General features: G+C 41.1%; 1 protein-coding gene across 5 annotated transcripts; it reads left to right on the top strand.

The window, feature by feature from the left end:
• Nucleotides 1,460–26,286, top strand: TAF7L (TATA-box binding protein associated factor 7 like). 5 transcript variants are annotated; one of them, NM_024885.4, is made up of 13 exons: nucleotides 1,460–1,753; nucleotides 6,998–7,065; nucleotides 7,890–7,968; nucleotides 10,960–11,093; nucleotides 12,090–12,216; nucleotides 12,768–12,823; nucleotides 15,508–15,549; nucleotides 16,422–16,494; nucleotides 16,824–16,937; nucleotides 18,015–18,236; nucleotides 18,431–18,543; nucleotides 19,262–19,321; nucleotides 25,306–26,286. In NM_024885.4, the coding sequence occupies exons 1-13, from the start codon at nucleotides 1,498–1,500 to the stop codon at nucleotides 25,348–25,350; spliced, it is 1,389 nt and encodes a 462-aa protein (NP_079161.3). In that variant the 5' UTR covers nucleotides 1,460–1,497; the 3' UTR covers nucleotides 25,351–26,286. The 5 variants fall into 5 exon arrangements, with proteins under 5 accessions (NP_079161.3, XP_006724727.1, NP_001161946.1 ...); XM_006724664.2 differs by having other exon boundaries at nucleotides 18,012–18,236; NM_001168474.2 differs by lacking the exon at nucleotides 1,460–1,753 and adding an exon at nucleotides 3,209–3,319.

Here is a 26,286-nt window from a genome sequence, read left to right as displayed (position 1 = left end):
TAATTCATATCCTTTCCTTTCTTCCACTTTATATTTCCCCGTTTCCTTAAGAAGGGGCTGGAACTCTGGCAATAATGAAAAAGTTACATATGTGTATGCTCTAACTAGATTGTAAATTTCTGAAGGATAATTTTTGCCTCCTTCCCATGAAACACTTAACCATATTTTAAGCATTTAATAAATGTTTCAAATCCGATCTGGCACACTAAATTCTCAATTAACATTTGTTGGATGATTGAATTTATAAGTGAGCAGTTATTGTGCTCCCCTCCTCTACCCACAGAGATGCTCCCTGAGACACTTTTGTCAGGAGTACTATTTCCTCTCCCTCTCCCTCTCCCTCTCCCTCTCCTCCCTCTCCTCCCTCTCCTCCCTCTCCTCCCTCTCCTCCCTCTCCTCCCTCTCCTCCCTCTCCCTCTCCCTCTCCCTCGTTCTTCTTTTTTTTGACGGAGTCTCGCTCTGTCACCCAGGCTGGAATGCAGTGGCGCGATCTTGGCTCATGGCAACGTCCGCCTCCCGGATTCAAGCGATTCTCGTGCGTCAACCTCCCTAGTAGCTGGGATTACAGGCACGCGCCACCACGCCCGGCTAATTTTTGTATTTTTAGTAGAGACGGGGGATTCTCACCGTGTTGGTCAGGCTGCTCTGGAACTCCTGACCTGAGGTGATCCACCTGCCTCAGCCTCCCAAAGTGCTGGGATTACAGGCGTGAGCTACTGTGCCCAGCCAGGAGTACTATTTTCATTTACCTAACATGTATATATCTGATTCTTTATGAAAAGGCTTTGAGCAGCTTTTAGTGTTATTTACTGCATGAGACAAAAAATAATTAGGGAAATGGGAGAGAACATAGTTACTTAAGATAAAACTCAACATATGTCAGTAAGGCTTAGTTATTACAGGTTGGTTGCAAATTTGGTTCTGAGCTTCCTAGCAGCCATCATAAACTTAATTATATAATTCACACTGTCCTTACAAGTCAAAACAATTACTCAGCTATTTCAGTTACCAAAAACAGAATTTTCATTTCCGTTTTCATGAAAGGATTTTTTTGTATAATTAATGCCTTCAAGAATATTGTATAGTAAATGTAAAACTGGTCTCGTTGGCCTGTTTTCTTGCATAACCCCTGATGTAGCCCCATGGCACAATGCCAAAATGAAGGTTAGCAGATAGATTCTAAAAGGGATCAAAACAATTTTGTCTTGGTCTGAAGCTCTGATAATCTAGTTTAATTGAATGAAAAAATATCATGTCCCAAAAGAAAATGATTGTAGAATAGTCTTCCGAAAATATTTATTCCCTGCGATTAAGTTTGGGTGAGTGTTAGGCAGTGGAGACGTGGCTGCTACAATCTTGAACCGGCACCGGCAATGTCGTTAACAGTATTACGTCTTAAAGACATAAAAGAAACCTTTTACATTTACGAAGGTTCTGGAACCCTCCAGGTCACATGACTACACAGGAAGCCATTTTACAACCCCAACGAGGTGGGCCATGGAGTGCCCCGAGGGACAGCTCCCCATTTCTTCAGAAAATGATTCAACACCAACAGTTTCAACATCGGAAGTAACTAGCCAACAAGAACCCCAAATTCTTGTCGACCGTGGGTCTGAAACCACCTATGAAAGCAGCGCCGACATTGCTGGCGACGAAGGCACCCAGATTCCTGCCGACGAGGACACTCAAACGGATGCGGACAGCAGCGCCCAGGCTGCTGCCCAGGCCCCAGAAAACTTCCAGGAAGGGAAAGGTAGGTGGTTTTTTAAGCTTGTTCCCCCAGCCGAGGACCTTCTTTCGGAGAAACAAACTGCTTTTAGTTCGATTCAAAATTTGTTTGAATTGCGGCCCCCTTGAGGAGCAATGGGCGACGTAACCTGTGTCCCTCTCCAGAGGATGTAAAATGTTGACTCTGTTGAGGAGAGGGGAGCAACCGATCGTGTTAGAGGGCTTTGGGCACAGATTCTAGTTGTTCAGTGGGTTTGCACGGTGGCGTGTTTGTCACTAGGCGAGGTCACCGTGCCTAGGGACAAACCGTCCGACCTAATGGAGTCGAGGAGCAACCAAAAGCGAGCAACTCGCTTTTTTTTTTTTTTTTTTTTTTTGACGGAGTTTCGCTCTTGTTGCCCAGGCTGGAGTGCAGTGGCACGATCTCGGCTCACTATAACCTCCACCTCCTGGGTTCAAGAGATTCTCCTGCCTCAGCTGCCCAAGTAGCTGAGATTACAGGCGCCTGCCATCATGCCTGGCTAATTATTATTATTATTATTTTTATTTATTTTTTTTATTTATTTTTTTTTTTTTGAGACGGAGTCTCGCTCTGTCGCCCAGGCTGGAGTGCAGTGGCGGGATCTCGGCTCACTGCAAGCTCCGCCTCCCGGGTTCACGCCATTCTCCTGCCTCAGCCTCCCGAGTAGCTGGGACTACAGGCGCCCGCCACTACGCCCGGCTAATTTTTTGTATTTTTAGTAGAGACGGGGTTTCAACATGTTGGCCAGGCTGATCTCGAACTCCTGACCTCAGGTGATCCACCCGACTCGGCCTCCCAAAGTGCTGGGATTACAGGCGTGAGCCACCGCGCCCGGCCCAACTCGCCTCTTAGGAGTATCACTGTCCCCTGGTAAAAATCTTCTGGCGCCCTGAAGGTTGCCCCTGTGTAAAGGTAATTTTTTTTTTTTCGGACAGAGTCTCACTCTGTCGCCAGGCTGGAGTGCAGTGGCGCAATCTCGGCTCACTGCAATCTCCACCTCCCGGGTTCAAGCGATTCTCCTGCCTCAGCCTACTGAGCAGCTGGGACTACAGGCGCGCGCAACCACGCCCAGCTAATTTTTGTATTTTTAGTAGAGACGGGGGTTTCATCATGTTGGCCAGGATGGTCTCGATCTTTTGACCTTGAGATCTGCCCGCCTTGGCCTCCCAAAGTACTGGGATTACAGTCGTGAGCCACCGCGCCTGGCCAAGGTAACTTGTTTTGAAGCCTCGGTCTTGCTTCGCGAGGTCCCTGAGCAGTCGCGTCCCCCTCAGCCCTCCCCTCGGCGCTCCCCTCGGCGCTCCGCGCCTTTCGAGCCTTCCCGCCCAGCACGCGGTGAGCGGGCCACTGCCTCGAAGTCGTGCTCCAGTCCGCTGGGCAGCGCGGCCGCGGAGGCGTGGCGAGGCGGGGAGGGGCCGGCGCGCGCCGCTTTTACTGTCCAGGCGCCGGCAGCCCAGCGTTCGCCTCTACGTTCCGCGCGGGAGCCCACGCGCGGTTCGTCCGGAACCCACAGACCAGAGACGCAGGTCCCAGCCTTTTCGGTGTCGGCGCCAGTTCCCGGAGGAGCGGGTGAGTCGGGCGGCCGACCGGGCGGCCGGGACCGGGTCAGCGCCCCGCCAGTGTGCACCCCGCCGCGGTGCACCCCGCAGCCCTCCCCAGCCAGCCTGCACAGCGAGGCGCGAAGGCTGGGACCCGTTGCGACCTGTTGGGCCTCGCGAGAAGTTTTCAAGGGAAAGTGGATCAAAGCCTAGGGGTCAAACTTTCTCTTTGAAAGCTTAGTGCCCCGGGGATAAGGATGGAGGTCAGTCTCTTAAACTGCAGCCGGAGACTGCGAACTTGAAAAAACACCCATTTAGGCGTGTACTGACTTGCATGGCCTGGAGCATGCTGCCAGGCGCCCTCCAGCCAATTATAATTCCAATTGTAATTCTGCTAAAGCGAGATGGAACTAGAGGTGAATGGTAGTAAGGGGTCCTGTTAATTTAATCAGGCATCAAAGAGTGCTTGCTGGAAAAAAGTGGATGCTTTTTCTTAAAGTGAATACCGTACAACTAGTCTTTTAGGTAAATGCAAGTAAATTTAAAAAATAATTAAAACCCAGTTCAACCAGGATTGTCTAACTTTTCTCCCACCAGACTTTTTATTAGGTCTGTTTATCAAACAAATACATTGAAATAGTTTCAGTTCTTACATTCTTTCTTCCATAAAAGAGGAATTACCAAAAAGGCTTGGAAATGAACAAAATGCCCCAGTTTTAGTTCTGCTGAGAAATCTAAAAGTTACTACTGATCTGATAAAATCTTGCTTAGCAGCTAGTTCTTCAAATAATCTGTTCCTGCTCCCAGCCTTAATTGTTACTATGTTCTGTTAGGGAATGTGCTCAGCCCCCAGATTTTTTATTTATTTCGATCAACTCTCTTCTTGCATTTACATTTCTCTTTTGTATTTATATATGCATATATATACATATATATCTGTATGAAACAAGAAGAGAAGAAATTACAATCACAAATAATGCATCTTTCCCTCTCCCATCCTGGGTGTCTGCTTTTCTACTGCTGACTTTTTTTGTTTTGTTTTGTTTTGTTTTGTTTTTGAGAAGGAGTCTCACTCTGTCACCCAAGCTGGAGTGCAGTGGCGCCATCTCGGCTCATTGCAGCCTCCATCTCCTGGGTTCAAGCAATTCTCCTGCCTCAGCCTCCCAACTAGCTGTAAAGATACAGCTAATTTTTGTATCTTTAGTAGAGATGGGGTTTCACTATGTTGGCCAGGCTGGTCTGGAACTCCTGACCTCAGGTGATCCACCTGCCTCAGCCTCCCAAAGTGCTGAGATTACAGGTGTGAGCCACAGCGCCCAGCTGTCTTTCCACCTTTGAGAAAAATCTTCCTCAGAAGTGTGGGCCTGGCTGGGCACAGTGGCTCATGCCCACAATCCCAACACTTTGGGAGGCCAAGGCGGGTGGATCACCTGAGGTCAGGAGCTCGAGACCAGCCTGGCCAACATGGTGAAACCCTGTCTCTACTAAATATACAAAAAAAAAATTTAGCCGGGTGTGGTGGCAGGTACCTGTAATGCCAGCTACTCAGGAGGCTGAGATGGGAGAATCACTTGAACCCGGGCAGCAGAGGTTGCAGTGAGCTGAGATGCGTGCCATTGCACTCCAGCCTGGGGTCAACAAGAGCAAAACTCTGTCTCAAAACAAAACAAAACAAAAGTGTGGGCCCTAATACCCAAAATGCAGGGCTCTACAAATACATCCCAAATACATGGAAAATAAGATTAGAAATAAAGTCTTGGTTCATTGTAAGAACATAAAATTGAAAAACAAATAATGAAAACAATAAAAAATAATAAAATAAAAACTTGGGATCCAGCAATCCCACGTCTAGATGTATATCCTAAAAACTTGAGATCAGTGTGTCAAAGAAATATCCGCACACACATGTTCACTGCAGCATTACAATAGCTAAGTTATGAAATCAATCTAGGTATCCAACAAGTGAATGGATAAATATGTGGTATGTGTACCCAGCTGAATACTATTCAGCCTTTAAAAAGAAGGAAATTCTGTCATTTGCAACAACGTGGATGAATCTGGAGGATATTATATTAAGTGAAATAAGCCAGGCAGAAAAAGACAAAAATCACATATTCTCACTTATATGTGGAATCTAAAATAATTGAACTCATAGAAGCAGAGAGTAGTGTTGGTTATTACAGGCTGGAGTAGCGGGAGGGGCATTGAGGAGATGTTGATCAAAGAACAGAAAATTTCAGTTAGGCTGGTCCAATAGTAGTGGGATATTATCACAACTTATTAACATTAATGCCACTAAAGTTGGTATACAATCTCCCACTTCCAAATTTGGCTTTTAAAATTAAAAAAAATGAAAGTTGCAGTTAGGGGGAATAACTGATAAGTATTTAAGGTGATGGATGTGCTCATTAGATTGATTCAGTCATTTCACACTATATCATAACATCATTGTGTACCCCATAATTATATATGATTATAATTTGTCAAAAAAAGATTAACTTGGAAGAAAGTATTCACTTCACCAAAGGTATATATATATATTTTAAATAAAAAGATCCATCTTAGGAGTTCTTTTAAATAGCTTTTGGGGGCATTCGAAGTAAGTGGTGATTGTGAGGATTATATGAAATGATAGACCTAATGCACTCAATGTAGTACTGGGCATACAGAATGCACACAATAAAGGGTAGTAATGAATGAAAGGGTAGTAACGAATAAATCAAATCAGATTTTATGTTCTCCATAAAACTCCATCTCAAAAAGAAAAAAAAAAGAGACTCCGTCTCAAAAAAAAAAAAAGAACTGGATTCCATGCTGGGCGCGGTGGCTCAGGCCTGTAATCCCAGCACTTTGGGAGGCTGAGGTGGGCGGATCACTTGGGGTCAGGAGCTTAAGACCAGCCTAGCCGACATGGTGAAATCCTGTCTCTACTAAAAAATACAAAAATTAGCCAGGTGTGGTGGTGCATGCCTGTAGTCCCAACTACTTGGGAGACTGAGGCAGGAGAATGGCTTGAACCTGGGAGGCGGAGGTTGCAGTGAGCCGAGATCGCACCACTGCACTCCAGCCTGGGCGACAGAGCGAGACTCTGTCTTGAAAAAAAAAAAAAAGAACTGGACTCCTAACTTTTCCCCAGGGTAGCTCAAAGCTGTTGTTGCTGGCTCTAGAGTCATAAAAAACTGCCTGGTCTCCCATGGACTGCTTAATTTCTACTAATCCATTAATGTAGGTGAAATATTGAAAATCAAGCCCTTGTTTACTTCAAATCATCACAGAACATTTATGCAAGTGGTTTCTAGGCGAATTTCAGCTTTTGGTTTGCATTCTTCCCTACAGAGGTTAGTTTGCTTAGGTAGCCACCAACGTGTTGTTGAATTGTAGTCTTTTACCTGAGAGTCTAAGAATATGATTAAGAAGACGAAATCATGTTTCATAACAGCTCTTATTTCATTTGTTCATCAAATTACATCATGTAATTTGGATTGACTTTGGAAAATCTACACATATTGGAGAGGAGCTAAGGTAACGTCTAGAAATAATTAAGTTATGTCAAATAAGGTATTGTCTAACTGTACACACATCATTCTAGTGAGGATTATGGGCAAGATCTTGTATAATTTAGCCAGTACTACCAGAAGTGGTCAGGAGAGGGAGCAAGAGGAGTTTTTAGTGATGGTTTTCTTTTTGCTTTCATGAACTCAAAATCAAGACATGAGTGAAAGCCAGGATGAAGTTCCTGATGAAGTTGAGAACCAGTTTATATTGCGTCTGCCTCTGGTAAGAACTTGTATCTCAGAACAAATATCTTCATAATTATAGTTTAATTATAATTATAGTTCTACTTGGATTCTGACATTTCTATTTCAGGTAGGCTATAAAAACTCAGAACATTTGTTTCCCAGGAATCATGTTCTGTTAAGCAGTCCTATCATAGCGTGTACTTTTTTGGCAGCATTTTTTCCTCCTGTACAATACCACCTATCATGCAGGTTGATTTCCTGGCAAAACAGCTGTGACAATGATGGACCCATTCACTTACCACCAATACTAACAGCCTGTTCCCTGGACAGCCAAGATACGGCTCCTCTGAAATCCTTTCTGTCACCTCAAAAGGGGCAGTGAGAAGGGCCAGCATTATTCACCACCATGCAAGACTTTTAAAGCTCATCTCAACAAGTATTTGGCTCTCTTCCCCCACACTGATACCTGTATTCAAGCAATTACTTAGTCTAGGCAGCTATATTAAGGATGGGGTTCAGAAACCTATTTCCCTAATTAGGGTTACTTAATATACCAAGCAAACTGCAACTAGGTAAGCCTTTCTTTAGCAACTACAACAGAAGGGTAGCAGTGAGAGGCAGGATTGTAGAGCTAGGAGAAAGCATTAACTGTAGCTACTAAGAGACAATTATGAGTTTAGAGTCAGCTTCATCCTAACTTGACTTATACAGTGCACAGTATCTCATGGTACATGGTCTTGTTAGTAACATTTGGGAGGTGTAAAGTTTTATTTAAGGGAGGGCTTTCTTTGATATATCTATTCTGTTAGCTGCCAAGTAGATGTTTAGTTCTTCTGATTTTTCAATTTACCTCCTTTTTAGGAACATGCTTGTACTGTCAGGAACCTAGCACGTTCTCAAAGTGTCAAGATGAAGGATAAACTAAAAATTGACTTATTGCGTAAGTAGTTAATATCCATTCACTATACATTGAACAATAATTTATTAAGGGATTGCTATGTGCCATACACTGTACTTGGTACTAAGGATGTGAAAAATGATAGAATATGGTCTCTGACTTGATGGACTCATGCTTTAGAGAGGCTTAAGTCCTCTTCTTTTAAGAGGAAAGGAAGTAGGAATATTGCACCTTGAGTTGAGTGATTATCATAGTGTGTTTAAGGAAACTTGGGGGTCAACTGTGGGGTTTTTATACTGCTGGTAGCCTCCCATATATAAACTTTATGATTTCTGAACATCCAAGGGAATGACAAATGGATATGCCATTCTTTGTTTATAAAGGTGACATGTATTTCTTTCTTTCTTTCTTTCTTTCTTTCTTTTTTTTTTTTTTTGAGATGGAGTCTCGCTCTGTCGCCCAGGCTGGAGTGCAGTGGCGCAATCTTGGTTCACTGCAACCTCTACCTCCTGGGTTCAAGTGATTCTTCTGCCTCAGCCTCCCAAGTAGCTGGGATTACAGGCACATGCCACCATGCCCGGCTAAGTTTTGTATTTTTAGTAGAGACGTGGTTTCACCATGTTGGTCAGGCTAGTCTCAAACTCCTGACCTTGTGATCCGCCTGCCTTGGCCTCCCAAAGTGCTGGGATTACAGGCGTGAGCCACCGTGCCTGGCCAGTGACATATATTTTTCTTTTAAATAATATTTGTTATATTGGCAAATTGTACATCCAATAAAGTGGTTAATATCCAAATATATAAGGAACTCAAACAACTCAATAGCAAGAAAACAAATAACCTGATTTTAAAATGGGCAAAGGATCTGAACAGATATTTCTCAAAAGAAGACATACAAGTAGCCAAAAGGTTCATGAAAAAATGCTCAGCATCACTAATCATTAGGGGAATGCAAATTAAAACAACAGCGAGATATCACCTCATACCTGTTAGAATGGCTTTTATTAAAAAAAAAAAAAGAACAATAACAACTGTTAATGAGGATGAGGAGAAAAGGGAAACTTTGTACCCTATTGGTGGTAATGTAAATTAATACAGCCTTTTTTTTTTTTTTTTTTTTTTGAGATGGAGTCTTGCTGTGTCACCCAGGCTGGAGTGCAGTGGCGCGATCTTGGCTCACTGGAACCTCCACCTCCTGGGTTCAAGCAATTCTCCTGCCTCAGCCTTCCGAGTAGCTGGGACTACAGGCATGCGCCACCACACCTGGCTAATTTTTTTGTATTTTTGGTAGAGATGGGGTTTCACCATGTTGACCAGGCTGGTCTTGAACTCCTGACCTCGAGTGATCCACCCACCTCAGCCTCCCAAAGTGCTGGGATTACAGGCGTGAGCTACTGTGCCTGGCCTACAGCCATTATTTTTTTTAAATGGTATGGAGGTTCCTCAGAAAACTAAAAATAGAACAACCATGTGATCCAGCAACCCCACTTCTGTGAATATATTCACAGAAGGAATTGATATCAACATGTTGAAGGCATATCTCTCTGCACTCCCATATTCATTGTAGCATTATTCACAATAGCCAAGATATGGAATCAACCTAAGTGTAAATGTGATACGTATACACAATGCTATACTACTCAGCCTTTTAAAAAGAACAAAATTCTGTCATTTGGGACACCATGGATGAATCTAGAGGCCATTTGCACCAAGAGCATGTGTAAATAAATAAGTAAATAAGTAAATAAATAAATAAATGTTTCCACACAAGTTTATCTGCCTAAAAAACACACAACCAAAAATAAATAAATTTTGCTAGTTTTTTTTTTTAATACAGAGAAGCATATAAAGGAGAAAACAAAAAGTGGCTCATAATCTCACCAGTTAGTTAACACTTACTGACATTTTTTAAAAAAGATAATATAAGTTCATAGTTAGAAAATTCAAATAAAACAGGCTGGGTGTGATGGCTCATGCCTGTAATCCCAGCTCTTTGGGAGGCTGAGGCGGGCGGATCACTTGAGGTCAGGAGTTCCAGACCAGCCTGGCCAACATGGCGAAACCCCGTCTCTACTAAAAATGCAAAAATTAGCCGGGCATGGTGGTGCACACCTGTAATCCTAGCTATTTGGGAGGCTGAGGCATGATAATTGCTTGAACCCAGGGGGCGGAGATTGCAGTGAGCAGAGATTATGCCACTGCACTCCAGCCTGGGTGACAGAGTGAGACTCCTTCTCAAAGAAAAATAAAAAAATCAAATGAAAAAGAAAAGTTCGAAAGGAGAAATAAAACTCTTCTTCCTTATGGTGCCCCAACCTCAATACCACAGATAACTGATACTGTTTCTTGTTACTTCCTTATTGACAAAACTCTTATGCATAATACTAGAATTGAAGCAATCTCTCTATTTTTAGAGTTAATTCACACAAAATGATAAACATTGTTTTGTATCTTTCTTTTTTCACATAATACTAGAAGATTATACCTGAATCCTCTTGTGTCAAAAGACATTTATGTTTGGGACATCTGAGCAGCAATATTCAGAGTTTAGTATATGGCTGTTGTATAGAATTTTATCTTTATGAAGCTAATTAGAGATTTAACTTGAGATTTATTAGCACCATTCTAGGGTCAGTCAACCCTTCCCTCACCCAGCCCTTTGAAAACACACATGTACAATGACACGATTGAATGCTTCTAAAAAAAAAAAAAAAGGAATTGGTTTTAATGAATGGAATTTGCTTTTCAGGATGAGAATGAAACATTTATTACTTCACCTATATTTAGTTCACATCCATTAACAAGAAACTTAGCTACTTTTGCACAAGTGACGTAAACTAGGAAAAAAGAGCTCCATATACTTTCCATTTCTTTTCTTTAGGAAGCTATTAATTGTGTACACAATTCTAGCATTATGAGAGATAGTAGGTTTCTTGGAAAGACTAATCTGTCCCACATAAGTCTTCATTATTCAAACCTTAGGAAGTTTAAGAGTTCACTGGGAAGATATCAACTTTAATCTTTACTTCTCTTCAGCTGATGGGCGCCATGCAGTTGTTGAAGTAGAAGATGTCCCACTAGCTGCTAAGCTGGTTGACTTGCCTTGTGTTATTGAAAGCCTGAGAACGCTTGATAAAAAAACCTTTTATAAAACAGCAGACATTTCTCAGGTATGGACTAGTTTTCTTTACTAGCCTCACATCCTTCAAGGAATTCTTTTCTCTTCCTATTTTTCTTTCTTTCAGTACTCCTTTCCACTTGGTGAATGGCTGCTTGGCATTTCTAATTTCCAGATTGACTGCACAGGAATGAAATGTCATGTTCTCGTTTGGTGTTTGATCCTTAGCTTTCAGTATTGTATTTTGACCAAATAGCCTATAGAGAGTCCCATTTGCCACTTATAGTGACTTTTCATTAATTGAAACATATGAGCTGCTGGGATCTTCTGAACTTTGTATTAAAACAGTATGTTGTTAACTCTGGAGGTTTAAATTGGTTCTTATTCATCATCTCTGCTGTTGATTTCTTATTTCCTCTCTAAATCAAAATGCTGAGATAGGCCAGACACAATGGCTCATGCCTATAATCCCTACACTTTGGGAGGCTGAGGTGGGAGGATCACCTGAGCCCAGGAGTTTGAGACCAACCTGGGCAACATAGTGAGACCTCATCTCTACAAAAACAAGATTAGCCAGGTGTGGTGGCACACACCTGTAGTCCCAGCTATTCTAGAGATTGAGGTGGGAGGATCACTTGAGCCCAGGAGGTCGAGGGTGCAGTGAGCCATGATCACGTACCACTGCACTCCAGCCTGTATGACAGAGCAAGACTTTGTCTAAAAACAAAACAAAAAACCTAAGCTAAGTTCCAAGATCTGTTTCCAATATATTCCCTCTGTAGTGGTAAACACTCTCGTGGAAAAAAAAAAACAAAACAAAGCACCTTCAGAGTTCATATGTAGTGCTGCTGGTGGCTGGTGGTGGGGAGGAGAGGGAGAGAGAGAGACTGCAAAAATGAGAGAATATAAATGTACATTACAAAATACTTGGTTTTCTGGAAATGGCAAGTATCAGTCTCTTCTGTGCATTTCTAGTGGTAAGAATGATTATGATTGCTAACCCAAAATTCGTGGTCATAGTCAACTTCTTTGTCTTTGTTAAATGTAGATGCTTGTGTGCACTGCTGATGGTGATATCCACCTTTCTCCAGAAGAACCAGCTGCCTCTACTGATCCTAATATAGTCAGGAAAAAAGAAAGGGGGAGAGAAGAAAAATGTGTCTGGAAGCATGGCAGTAAGTCACCAGCCCCTTGCTCATTCCTGCTGACTAAAATTTATTTGCTGAATCCTAATTCCTTGTGAAACAGGGACGTCTTACCACACTTAGGTGTTTGGTTCATTAGGTTCTCAGATACTCTTTAAGAGGAGTCACGTCAGCTGGGCGCGGTGGCTCACGCTTGTAATCCCAGCACTTTGGGAGGCCGAGGCGGGTGGATCACCTGAGGTCAGGAGTTCGAGACCAGCTTGGCCAACATGGTGAAACTCTGTCTTTACTAAAAATACAAAAATTAGTTGGGTGTGGTGGCGGGCACCTGTAATCCCAGCTACTCGGGAGGCTGAGGCAGGAGAATCGCTTGAACCTAGGAGGAGGTGGTTGCAGTAAGCTGAGCTCGCACCACTGCACTCCAGCCTGGGCAACAGAGTGGGACTCGATCTCAAAAAAAAAAAAAAAAAAGGAGTGATGTCATGACCCTTTGGTTTATAGCATGATCTTTGTCTTTATCAAATTCAGCTATGTGACTACCATCAGTCATATAACGTTTCACTGTGTTGTATTTATTTTAGTTACGCCACCACTTAAGAATGTCAGAAAGAAAAGGTTCCGGAAAACACAAAAAAAGGTTAGTTACATGCTATTTGTGTGTCTGCCGGGCCGATTAGAAGAGGATCATGGGCCAGAAGAAAAGAGAAAAAGTCAGTTGGGAATTAATTTTTAATTCATTTATATGTTCAATAAACATTTATTGAATGTGAACTAAATGCCAGGCACTGTATGCTAGCAGTAGGGAATATAGCAGTGAATAAAAAGACCTGATCCTTGAGGTTATAGGCTAGTCATTTGGGGTCTGGAAGAATCATACATTTGAAACTTCTGTTAATGCTTTCAGTTTTCTATTGCAAGATCTAGTTTTAAAGTGAACCCATCCAGAACCTGAAAATTGGGAATTGTGGTTATATTCCTAATGTTATTTCAGGCTTGTAGAATCTTGGGCAAACTACAGGAGTATTGTGGCTTGGCTTCTTCTTTTGTTTAAAATTAAACATGTTATTTTGAAATAATTGTAAATTCATATACAGTTGTAAGAAATAAAAGAGAGATATCGTGTACCCTTTCGCCATTTTCCCCATTTTGCAAAACTATAGTACAATACCACAAACAGGTAATTGACATGATTAGAATTCTGCAATCTTATTCCAATTTCTCCAGTTTTACTTGTACTCGTGTATTTTTGTGCATGTGTTTAGTTCTATGCAGTTTTATCCCATGTGTAAGTTCATGTATCTGTCTACACAGTCAAAATACAAAACAGTTTCATCACAAGGATCCCTCATTTTGCTTTTATATAACCATGCCCACTTCCCTTCCACCTCACACCCCAGTCTCTGACACTTGGTAATCACTAATCTGATCTCTATCTCTGTAATTTTGTCATTTCAAAAATTTAATATTAATGGAATTATATAGTATATAACATCAGAGACTAGCTTATTTTTTCATTCAGCATAATTCACTTAAGATCCATATAAGTTTTTGTAGCATCAATAGTTTATTTTTTATTGCTGAGTAGTATTCCATGGTATGAATGTACCACATTACATAACTGTTCTCCCTTTGAAGGACATCTGGGTTGTTTACAGGTTTTGACTATTATAAATAAAGCTGTGAACAGGTTTTTGTGTGAATATAAGTATTCATTTCTTTGGAATAAATGTCCAGGAGTATAATTGCTGGGTCATATGGTAGTCACATGTTTAGTTTTGTAAGAAATGACCTGTTTTCCAGAGTGACTGTACCATTTTATATTCCTGCCAATAATGTATGAATGATCCAGTTTCTCCACCTCCTCACCAGCATTAGGTGTTGTCACTATTTTTCATTTTAGCCATTCTGATAGGTGCATAGTGATCCCATTGTAGTATTAATTTACATTTCCCTGATGGTTAACGGGGTTGAGCATCTCATGTGCCATCTATTCCACTTCAGCGAAATGTCTGCTCATGCCTTTTGCCTATTTTCTAAATTGATTTTTTATTATTGAATTTTGAGAGTTCTTTTTATATTTTAAATACTACCAGTGTTTTATCAGATATGTAGTTTGCAAATATATTCTCCCAGTCTGTAGCTTGTCTTTCCATCCTCTTCGTAGGGTCTTTCAGAGAGCAAAAGTTTTTAGTTTTGATGAAGTACAATATATTGATTTTTTTGAAAACGATCTTGCTTTTTATAGTAAATCTAAGAACTCTTTGCCTAGCCCAGATCCTGAAGATTTTCTCCTGCTTTTTTTTTTTTTTTACATCTTTTTAAGCCTGATGCCCATTTTCGACTTAATTTTTGTAAAAGCTATGAGGTTTAGTTCAAGGTTTTTTTTTTGTTGTTGTTGTTGTTTTGTTTTTGTTTGTTTGTTTGTTTTTGCTTTTCTTGCCAAAGGATGTCTAATTGCTCTCGCACTATTTGTTGAAAAGGCTATTCTTCCTCTGTTGTATTGCTTTTGCACCTTTGTGAAATATCAGTTGGGCTTGGTTTTATGGGTCTGTTTCTGGGTTCTCCATTCTCCTCCACTGATCCATCTGTCAATCCCTCCACCAATATCACAGTGTCGCTATATAATTGGTCCTGAAATTAGAAGGCTGATTGCTCTGACTTTACTTTTCTTTGTCAATATTGTTTAGCCATTCTAGAGTCCATATCTTTATTTATTTATTTATTTATTTATTTTTTGAGATGGAGTCTCGCTCTGTTGCCCAGGCTGGAGTGCAATGGCACGATCTCTGCTCACTGCAGTCTCTGCCTCCCGGGTTCAAGCGACTCTCATGCCTCAGCCTCCCAAGTAGCCAGGATTACAGGCATGGGCCACCATGCCCGGCTAATTTTTGTATTTTTAGTAGAGACGGGTTTCACCATGTTGGCCAGGCTGGTCTCGAACTCCTGACCTCACGTGATCCGCCCGCCTTGGCCTCCCAAAGTGCTGAGATTACAGGCATGAGCCACCACGCCTGGCCAAAAGCCTGTATCTTTTAATATAAATTTTAGAATAAGCTTGTCTATAGCTATAGAAAACCTTGCTAGAATTTTGGCAGGAATTACATTAAACTTGTAGATCAATTTGGGGAGAACTGACATTTTTACTATATTGAGTCTTCCAATCCATGAACACAGTTGCCTTGGCTTTTATACTCTGTAAATCAACATTTATTGAGTGCCTACTAAATGTAAAACTAAGTTAAGGATAGTTGTAGAGCTCTTTAAGCTTTACTGAAATATAGGTATCATAATATAACTTGTTTATTGTGTTTTATTTCATAGGTCCCTGATGTCAAAGAAATGGAAAAAAGCAGCTTTACTGAGGTAGAGCAATCATAATATAACTTCATTTTTACCCTTAATGTGTTTTATTTAATAGCTCATTAGTTTCAAATGAATCAAATAAACCACAGAAGCTACTTTTGAGCCTTCCTTCTCACCTCTAACCCTCATCCTAAACACATACACTGGGTTTGATTCACTAAAAAATGAATTCATTGTTTGATGTTTGATAACTGCTAGAGGAAAAGATACAATTTGGCCAGTGACCCCGTGTATTCTAATCTGCTCTTTTTATTCTGATATTTATTTCAAAAGCCATTCCTTGGGAGCCAGAGCTCACTTTTAACAGCAGTTGTTTGCAATTGCTTATTCCCCATCAAAATCCTAATTTCTATTTGTGGCACAACAAATTGGTTGCTGTGGAGATAATTATGTAAAACTGGATTCAAGGGAGAACATGCAGCTAAGATCCAGTTTTTATAGGAACGTCTCTAATAATAAAGATGTGGGGAAGTGAAATCTGGGAATTTGGATCTTTAAACCAAATTATTTCTAAATAACTAATAAGGAATTATAGTTCTTTGCCAATATAAATCAGGAGAAATAATTTATAACTGAGACCTAAGGGTTGCACCTCTGAGAGAGGGCTTTACCATAGAGCTGCAGATTGAAAAGATTAAATGTCTCAAGTAATTTGTTTAATTAGGAAAAAAGTAAGTTTACTGTACAAAATTCTAGACCCTGGCTAAAGATTCCTTTATAAATAGCACTACTTAAAGTAGAAATTTGGTTGGATCAGAATTTAAAGAGGCCTAACATTTGAATTCGTTGGTACGTAGGAGGGCACTCCTGCAACACACAGGGTGTTAAATGACAGTATTGGTATCCCCCTCTAATCCCCAACTTTGCTTCAGTACATTGAATCTCCAGACGTGGAAAATGAAGTAAAGAGACTGCTGCGTTCGGATGCTGAAGCCGTAAGTACCCGTATCCTTTATACAAATATTTTCTGCATAGTCTGTTCTGCCCCATTTGTACATGCTGACGAAGCCTCACCTCTGGTGTTTGTGTGCCAGTCTTGATGTGTGGAACTTAAGATTCTTTGAAATGTTCTAGCTAGGAACAGTAAATTCATGTAATAGAAAATTATTTATTGTGTAATTCAATATGAGGCACTTCTCCAAACTAGGAATTCCAATACAAATGGCCTAAAGTTGGACTAAATTAAATAGCACTGTTAGCCAAAGAGCCCCTTCCCTTTCAGCTGTGCCTTTTTGTTTCCTTCTGTGTTTTCCTTGACTACCCACTCCTTTCAGGTTGGGAAGTCATTGCTGAAGATGGAACCAAGGAAATAGAAAGTCAAGGCTCCATCCCAGGATTTTTGATATCCTCGGGAATGAGCAGCCACAAGCAGGGTCATACCTCGTCAGGTACTTTAGTAAAGGCAAAGCAGGAGTTTCAGATAGGGCAGGTATTGACTGGGTATCAGATCATTTTCCATAAATTCATAGGCCAATCCAAAAAAAAAAAAACCCAGAAAAAAAGGATGGTTTCGTCCTTCCCTCTTTTTTTTTTTTTTTTTTTGAGATGGAGTCTTGCTCTGTCGCCCAGGCTGGAGTGCAGTGGCGTGATCTCGGCTCACTACAACCTCTGCCTCATGAGTTCAAGTGATTCTCCTGCCTCGGCCTCCCAGGTAGCTGGGATTACAGGTGTTCACCACCATGCCCAGCTAATTTTTTACTAGCGTCGGGGTTTCACCATGTTGGCCAGGCTGGTCTTGAATTCCAGACCTCAAGTGATCTGCCTGCCTCGGCCTCCCAAAGTGCTTGAATTACAGGCATGAGCCACTGTGCCTGGCCTTTTTTTTTTTTTTTTTTTTTTTTTGAGACAGAGTCTCGCTCTGTCGCCCAAACTGGAGTGTAGTGGTGCGATCTCGGCTCACTGCAACCTCTGCCTCCCAGGTTCAAGTAGTTCTTGTGCCTCAGCCTCCCAAGTAGCTGGGATTACAGGCATGTACCACCACACCAAGCTAATTTTTCTTTTTTCTTTTCTTTTTTTTTTTTTTGTAAGTAGAGATGGGGTTTTGCCATGTTGGCCAGGCTGGTCTCCAACTCCTGGCTTCAAGTGTTCTGCCCGCGTTGGCCTCCCAAAGTGCTGGGATTACAGGCATGAGCCACCACACCCAGCCCTTCTTCCCTCTTATTGGTCTCTTGGCAGTTTAGGGGTTTTAGATTAGTGTTCTAATCTCCCATCCACCCCTGGTATTTTAACTTCCTATGACCCTTAGAGTCTCTAAATATCTTGATCATTCACTACATGAATGAATGTTACAGTGTTTTGCATTTGCTGTCCTTGTTTTATAAAGGGAATAATCTTCCTGCATGAAAAAATGATTTATAAAATTCACTGGTTGCCTGGGGAATGTGAAAGGAGTATAATTATATCTGGAGTATGAGTCATTTGCAGAGTTTTAGATAGTTCACCTTCTTCTTGCTTAAAACTAGTAGAATATGATATGCTTCGGGAGATGTTCAGTGATTCTAGAAGTAACAATGATGATGATGAGGATGAGGATGATGAAGATGAGGATGAGGATGAGGATGAGGATGAAGATGAAGACAAAGAAGAGGAGGAGGAAGATTGTTCTGAAGAGTATCTGGAAAGGCAGCTGCAGGCCGAGTTTATTGAATCTGGCCAGTATAGGGCAAATGAAGGTACCAGTTCAATAGGTAAGTCAGAAAAAACAAAGGGATGGGACCAGGGTGGGTGGCAGTGCTAACAGTTGACTCTAAGCATACATTAGACTCAAAGCTAAGCTCAAGAAGTTATCGCTTCGATGTGTAGTAGAGTTTTACTTGATTTGGATCTTGGTCCATTCATTTAGGCTATATTTAATATATAAAGTTCTATGTTTCTCTATTAGTCATGGAAATTCAGAAGCAGATTGAGAAAAAGGAGAAAAAGCTCCATAAGATTCAGAATAAAGCACAAAGACAGAAGGATCTCATCATGAAAGTGGAAAACCTGACACTCAAGGTAAATTCTTGGCTGGCATAAAGAAATCCTGATATCTTACTTTCAGTATCTTGCCTTTGTGTTTCCACTTATGTTATCTCTGTGCAGGGTTCTTGTTCATTCATGAACCTAAACAGCCTCTTAGAAACTCCTAATAAAAGATAACCCTGTTTCCTTTTACCTGAGTAATTTTGATCATCTAATATAAGCATTTTGGGGAAGGGACTAGGTGATATGAGATAAAAATTGCCAATATTGAGCATTTGCTATGTAAAAGGCACATAAAGGGCTAAGAATTGTGTACACATATTATCACATTTTATCCTCACATCCTTGAAACGTAAATACTGTCACCACTCCCATTTTATAGATAAAGAATGGAAACTCAAAGAGGTTAAGTAACTTGCCAGGGATCACAGTAAATGATCCCTGAGTAAGGGATCTTTTAGTAGAGATGAAACCTCATCTCTACTAAAAATACAAAAATTAGCCAGGCCTGGTGGCATGCTCCTGTAATCCCAGCTACCCAGGAGGCTGAGACATGAGAATCACTTGAGCCTGGGAGGCGGAGGTTGCATGAGCCAAGATTGCGCCACTGCACTCCAGCCTGGGTGACAGAGGAAGATTCCGCCTCAAAAACAAAAACAAAAACAATTATTTGCCAAACTCCTTGCCTCCCTTGGTTTTTTTTTTTTTCTTTGAGACTCAGTGTTCATCATTTATACAATTTATTTTTCAGAATCATTTTCAGTCTGTGCTGGAGCAGCTTGAGTTACAGGAAAAACAAAAAAATGAGAAGGTAAGAAGTATGTTTTCAAATTAACCAGAAAACATTTGATACAGAGAATCCCCCACTTCAATTCCAATATCATTGCTGGCTGTTCCTCTCATAGGAATAGTGGTAGCCAAATCTTCTAAATGAAGGTAGCAGGGTGGAACAAGGTCTTTGTGAAAATTCACTCATTCAACAGATATTGAATGCCTATGAAGTGAAAAGCACTGGATGTACGGTGTTGAATAAGACAAATGCAATACAGTAAATCCTCAGTGTCATTGATAGGTTCTTGGAAACTGTAACTTTAAGCAAAATAATGTATATATAATGAAACCAATTTTACTATAGGCTAATTGATATAAAGAAGAATTAAGTTCCTATAGCATATTTCTGGTCACAAAAACATCACCAAACTTCTAAATAAAAACCAAAACGCTTCTAATAATTAAACGTTGAAATAAATGTGAGCTATACATACATTTGAGAAAGACTGATAAAAACAAGTAAGACAATTATGTACCCAGTGATTCCAGTTCAGGGTCTCAGATGGCCAGAGCCTATCCCAGCAGCTCAGGGCACAAGGTAGGAACCAGCCTTGGATAGGATGGCATCCCATTGCAGGGCACACTCACACCCACACTCACACCCACACTCACTCAGACTGGGACAATTCAGACAAACCAATTCACCTAATGTGTACAGGGAAGTGATTTTATTTTTCTCATCAACATTATAATGAGGCCAGGAGTGGTGGCTCATGCATGTAACCCCAGTATTTTGGGAGGCCGACGCGAGAGGATTGCTTTAGCTCAGGAGTTTGAGACCAATCTGAGCAACATGGTGAAACGCTGACTGTACAAAAAATTAGCCGGTTGTGGTGGCATAAGCCTGTAGTCTCAGCTACTCAGGACGCTAAGGTGGGAGGATTGCTTGAGCCCAGGAGGTTGAGGCTGCAGTGAGCCATGATCACACCACTGCACTCCAGCTTGGGCAACAAAGTGAGCCCCTGTCTCAAAAAAAAAAAAAATTATAATGAAATGACATTGAACTAACAATGTTATTTGGAGACCTTTTGCATGTCATTTTGCTTAAAGTTGCAGTTTCTAAGAACCTATTGATGACATTAAGTGAGGACTTACTGTAACAAAACGACATTGGACAAAACGATGTTATTCAAGGACCTGCTGTACTTATCCTCGTGGAGCTGTCTAGCAGGGGAGATTGACAATAAACAAATTATACAAATATAAAGTTACAAATTGTGAAGAAGTGCTATGAAGGAAAAAAGTCAGTGGTGCTATTAGAATAAAGGGTCTTGAATTAATTGGGGGATCATGATAGACCTCTCCTAGGAGGTGCTATTGAAGCTGAGACCGGAAGGATTAAGTCCAGGCAAAGAGTGGGATGAGGAGCCTCTTAGGTGGAGCGTATGCAAGGTCTCATGCTCAGAAAGAACTTGGCTTCTTTGAGGACCTTTGGAGTATTTAAAGCCAGGAAGAGAATGGCTTAAGATAAGGTTGGAGAAGTAGGCAGAGACCATAGTGTATGGTTCCTTGAAGGCCATGATAAGGAGGATGGGTTTGGCCTTAAGTGTAATGTGAAGTCCTTGAAGAATTGTAGATAGGAAAATCACATCTAATTTAAACTTTTTTTTTTTTAAATGGAGTCTTGCTCTGTCGCCCAGGCTGGAGTGCAGTGGCACAATCTAGGCTCACTGCAACATCCGCCTCTCGGGTTCAAGAGATTGTCCTCCCTCAGCCTCCCAAGTAACTGGGACTACAGGCACGTGCCACCATGCCCGGCTAATTTTTTGTATTTTTAGTAGAGACAGGGTTTCACCGTGTTAGCGAGGATGGTCTTGATCTCCTGACCTCGTGATCCACCTGCCTTGGCCTCCCAAAGTGCTGGGATTACAGGCGTGAGCCACCACGTCTGGCCTAATTTAAACTTTTAAAAGGTTACTCTGATTATTATCTGGAGAATGGGTTGGAAGAAGGTGAGAGTAGAAGCAAAGAGGCTGGTTGGGGGGCTTTGTGGTACTCTAATAACAGAGGATGGTAACTTGGACTAAGTTAGTAGCAATGGAGATTGAAAGAATATAGATTTTTAAACTGCAATAAAAATGTTTTTATAACAGATGTAATTCATAAACCATACAATATCACCCATTTAGGCTGGGTGCGGTGGTGCGTGCCTGTAATCCTAGCGCTTTGGGAGGCCAAAGTGGGCAGATGGCTTCAGCCCAGGAGTTCGAGACCAGCCTGGGCAACATGGTGAAACCCCGTCTCTCCAAAAATTAGCCAGGCATGGTGGTGTATGCCTGTAGTCCCAGCTGCTCGGGAGGCTGAGGTGGGAGGATTGCTTGAGCCTGGGAGGCAGAGGTTGCAGTGAGCAGAGATCCCACCACTGCACTCCAGCCTGGGTGACAGAGTGAGACTGCCTCAAACCCCGTCCTCCCCACCCCCGACAAGTCACCCATTTAAACTATACAATTCAGTGGCTTTTAGCATATTCAGAGTTGTACAACCACCACTGCAGTCAATTTTAGAATAGTTTCATCACTCCAAAAAGAAACCCTGTATCCATTAGTAGTCACTCCCCACTTCTCCAGAACCTCTCCCCTGCCCAGCACTAGGCAACCACTCATCTAGTTTCTACTAATCTACTGCCTATTCTAGTTATTTCATACAAGTGAAATCATATAATACATGGTGTTTTGAGTCGGGCTCCTCTCATTTAGCATATTTTCAGGGTTCATCCATGTTATGGCATGTATCAGTACTTTTTTCCATTTAAAACTGACTAATACTCCATTGGATCAATATACCACATTTTGTTTATTCATTCATCTGCTGATGGACATTTGGGTTGCTTTCACTTTTGGCTATTATGAATAATGCTGCAATGAATATTGATATATTAGAGAATATACTTTAAAGGTAGAATTGACAGGAGTTGGGTCAATTACTGGGTGTTGAAGGAGAAGGAATCATTAAGGATGTATGTATTTCTAACTTGAACGACAACTGTATTTTTCAAAGCCACAAGAGAGTGTACAGGGCGAAGAGAGAAGAAGGCAATATAGGCTAAATGAGGGTCAAGCAGCTGTATAGAAAATGTGTGCTGACTCTAACCTTATACTGTTGAGGGTTACAATTTTAAAGAGACTGGAGTTGGTATTATGAGGATGGGCTTAGCATGGTGCTCTTGAAGTACAGGCACTACTCCCCACCCCCATCCCCACAAGGCTAGCGGAATTTTTATGTTCTATATATTCCCTTCCTCTCAGCAAATCACTTATCCAAGTACTGCTTAATACTGCTTTAAAACAATCAGATGAACAGTTAATGCCAGGATTGTTTTAGTACCCACCAAACATCTTTGTTTTCATCAATGTAAGTACAGTTGTATGCTGCATAACAACATTTTGGCCAATGACAGACTGCATATATGATGGTAGTCCCATAAGATTATAATGGAGCTAAGAAATTCCTGTCACCTGGTGACACTGTGGCCATCATAACATAGCAGCAGAATTACTTAATTTTTAAATTATTTTACTATAGCCTAAGTATATAGTGTTTATATAGTCTTCAGTAGTGCATAGTAATGTCCTAGGCCTTCACATTCACTCACCACTCACTCACTGACTCACCCACAGCAACTTCTAGTCCTGCAAGCTCTATTCATAGTAAGTGCCCTATATAAGTGTACCATTTTTAATTTTTTATATTGTATTTTTAGTTTACCTTTTCTATGTTTAGATACACAAATACTTAACATTGTGCTACAATTGCCTACAGTATTCAGTACAGTAATATGCTGTACAGGTTTGTAACCTAGGAACGATAGACTATACTATGTAGCCTAGGTGTGTAGTAAGCTATACTATCTAGGTTGGTGTAAGTATGTTCTATCATGTTCGCGTCATGACAAAATTGCCTAAGGATGCATTTCTTAGAACATATCCCCATTGTTAAGTAACACATGACTATATTTAGTATTGAGGAGCAGCATAGAAATGTAGCTGTAAACTTTATTTACTCAGAGTCCCTTATGTTAGTTCATTTATCCAAATTAGATTTAGTAGGTGTCTACTTTAAGCTAGGCTCTACAGGGAGCTATGATATGCTTATGATGTAGTCTCTGTCTTCATTTGGGGAGAAATTGGCAAGAGGGGTAGGGACTTAAAGGAATGACAGATTGTCCATGGATATTAAAGAAGACTTCATGGAGAAGATGGTGTTTGACTGGGGCCTTAAAATATAGGTAGGGTTTTAATAAGGAGATAGGGAAAGGAGTGCATTCCATGAGAAAGCAGCATGCACACTGGCTCAGAGGTGGTGATGCCAGGGTGAACAGTTTAGATTTTTGGTGTAGGTCATAATGAACCTTCAAAGCCTTTTTACCTGGGGAATAACTCAGGAAGATTTTTCTGCCAGAAGTATATAGGAGAAATTGGAGTGGGGACAGCCTGGAGCTTCAAAGGTGCAAGTGGTAGAAGCAAACAGAGCTTAACAATTGATTGGATTTACAGGGCAAAAAGGGGAACAAAGATGAGTCCAAAGCCTGGGAAACTGGGAAATGATGTGCCATTAACTGAAAATAGGATAACAAAAAGTGGATTTGGAGGGGTATGTGGAGAAGTGCTTTTGAAAATGGGAAATTGGAGAGAGGCCCATACACAGAAATGATCATTGAAGCTGTGGGGCTAGTTGAGTTAGCCTGGTTGATTGTTCAGCAAGAAGTCTGAACCTAAGGAAAAACCTATCTATAGGGGGTGGTGGGAAGAGAAAGAGCCTGCAAAGGAGAAAGAACTGGATCAGTCAGTGGTTGTAATCATGGTCAATCAGGGGTCACTCAGCAACTGAGTGAGAAGAGCCTCTAAGTTACTGCGGACAGCAATTATTGTGGCTTGGTAGGTGATGTGCAGCATAGGATTGTTTTATAATGTTCCTTTCATTTCACAGACTAAAAATTCATTCTGGTATGGAGTGTCCTGAAATGAATAATATTCAAAAACAACCTTTGTTGTAAAGATGGCATACATCTCTGAATGTTATTGGTCACTTTACCATTTCAAGTTAAAAAAAAGTAAATCCTATACCACAAAATGTTCAGGGCTTCTAACTTAGAAAGCATTAAGTAGAACATCATCAGGCTCCTGATTGGTCAGGGCTCTGGCTCAGTTTCTAAGTATCTCCTAATGTGGTAAGAAGCAGCTGGTAAGACTCAGTCTAAGACCCATTGTGTTCATTGGGACAAGAGAGTGTCCCAACTGTTTTATCATCTGACTCTTAGAATATGGCTACAGAGATCCCATCTCCTTTGCCCCTACAGTGAGCTGTGACCTCTGTATATTCTTCACAGAAGCACAAATTCTTAACAGCAAAAATATTGTTTTTTTTTAAAGCCTATTCAATTTTAAAGCTTGATATGGTTTGTCTGTGTCCCCACCCAAATCTCATCTTTAATTCCCACGTGTTGTGGGAGGCACCTGGTGGGAGGTAATTGAATCATGGGGGCAGGTCTTTCCCATGCTGTTCTCGTGATAGTGAATAAGTCTCACGAGATCTGATGGTTTTAAAAAGGGGAGTTTCCCTGCATAAGTTCTCCTCTCTTTGCCTGCTGCCATCCATGTAAGATATGACTTGCTCCTCCTTGCCTTCCACCATGATTGTGAGGCCTCCAGCTATGTGGAACTGTAAGTCCATTAAACCTCTTTTTCTTCCCAAACTCAGGTATATCTTTATCAGCAGTGTGAAAACTGACTAATACAAAGCTTCTCTTCATAAATTGGGCATAATAAAGGACATCATCATGGCCACAGCAGTATGCATGCATTCTTGACTGTGGCCAGTATTCTCTGGAACATTGCAAGACTAAGATAACCTTATAAATGCCAAATAACAGTAGTTCTTTTTGGTTCATTTAAGTAAATTCTAGATCAAGTAATGGGACCTCAAATTTCAAATGAATTTTTCATGTCTTTCTACCTCTCCCTACAGCTCATTTCCCTACAGGAACAGTTGCAGCGTTTTCTGAAGAAGTGAGGAGAGCCATTGGCGTGGCCCACAAACCTTGGATTCACCATCCAGACTGCAGATTGGATGAAACTGTGCACGTTTTTGTCCCTTCAGTTGCCTTATGTTGAATCAGTTATATTTATCTGTACCTTCTTTGCTACTTAAAATATGCTCACAGTTTGTAGTCATGTAGAAAAGGCCAGTATAAAAATGTAGTAGACTTAAAGACCCCACTCGACCATGAGACTTTCTCTTTGTCAATTTGGGAATTATTATTATTAATTTAGAAATGGGGTCTTGTTATGTTGCCCAGGCTGAATTCAGACTCCTGGGCTTAAGGGATCCTTCCGCCTCAGCCTCCTGAGTAGCTGGGACTACAGTTGTGCACCACCACACCAAACAAGAATTGATTATATTGCTTCTGTGCTATGGTACCAGCAGATTATTCAGCCATGCTTCTAAAGGCAGTCTAGCCTAGAGGCCGTACAGCTGTTTGGTTTGCATATGTTTTAGCTTTTCTTTTGGTTTTTAGTATTTCCTAAAACATAGGGGAAAAAACGAGGTCATTTCTACTAAGCACTAGGACCTGCCATAGTGAGTTTAAGTGCCTACCTTGCAGCAGTTAATACTAGATTGTGTTCTGTCTCTGTTCAGGTAACAGGACTGCATTCCTGCTCAAGGATGATTCCTTGCTGCTGCTTATGTTCTGTTGTTTTTAGGATGGAGCTGGTTGTTATTCACCAACTAAGGGAACAGTTAGAGCAGAGATGAAGAAATTATGAACTGTTATCCTTATTCTGAGCCTTCTCCTCCTAACCCTCATCAGTTAAGGTTAGGAAGAACAAGATGCCATAATGCCTATGAAGACTTCTTTAACAATCTTGTTTGGGTTTTTTTCTAGGTATATTATTAGTGTTTTATGGTCTATGTTCTTTAAGCAATAAATAAATTGTTCATTTTAAA

This window comes from Homo sapiens, chromosome X, assembly GCF_000001405.40.
Source record: "Homo sapiens chromosome X, GRCh38.p14 Primary Assembly".
Lineage (NCBI taxonomy): Eukaryota > Metazoa > Chordata > Mammalia > Primates > Hominidae > Homo > Homo sapiens.
The sequence above is the reverse complement of the archived record's forward strand: the minus strand, read 5'-3'. Positions and strand labels throughout refer to the sequence as shown.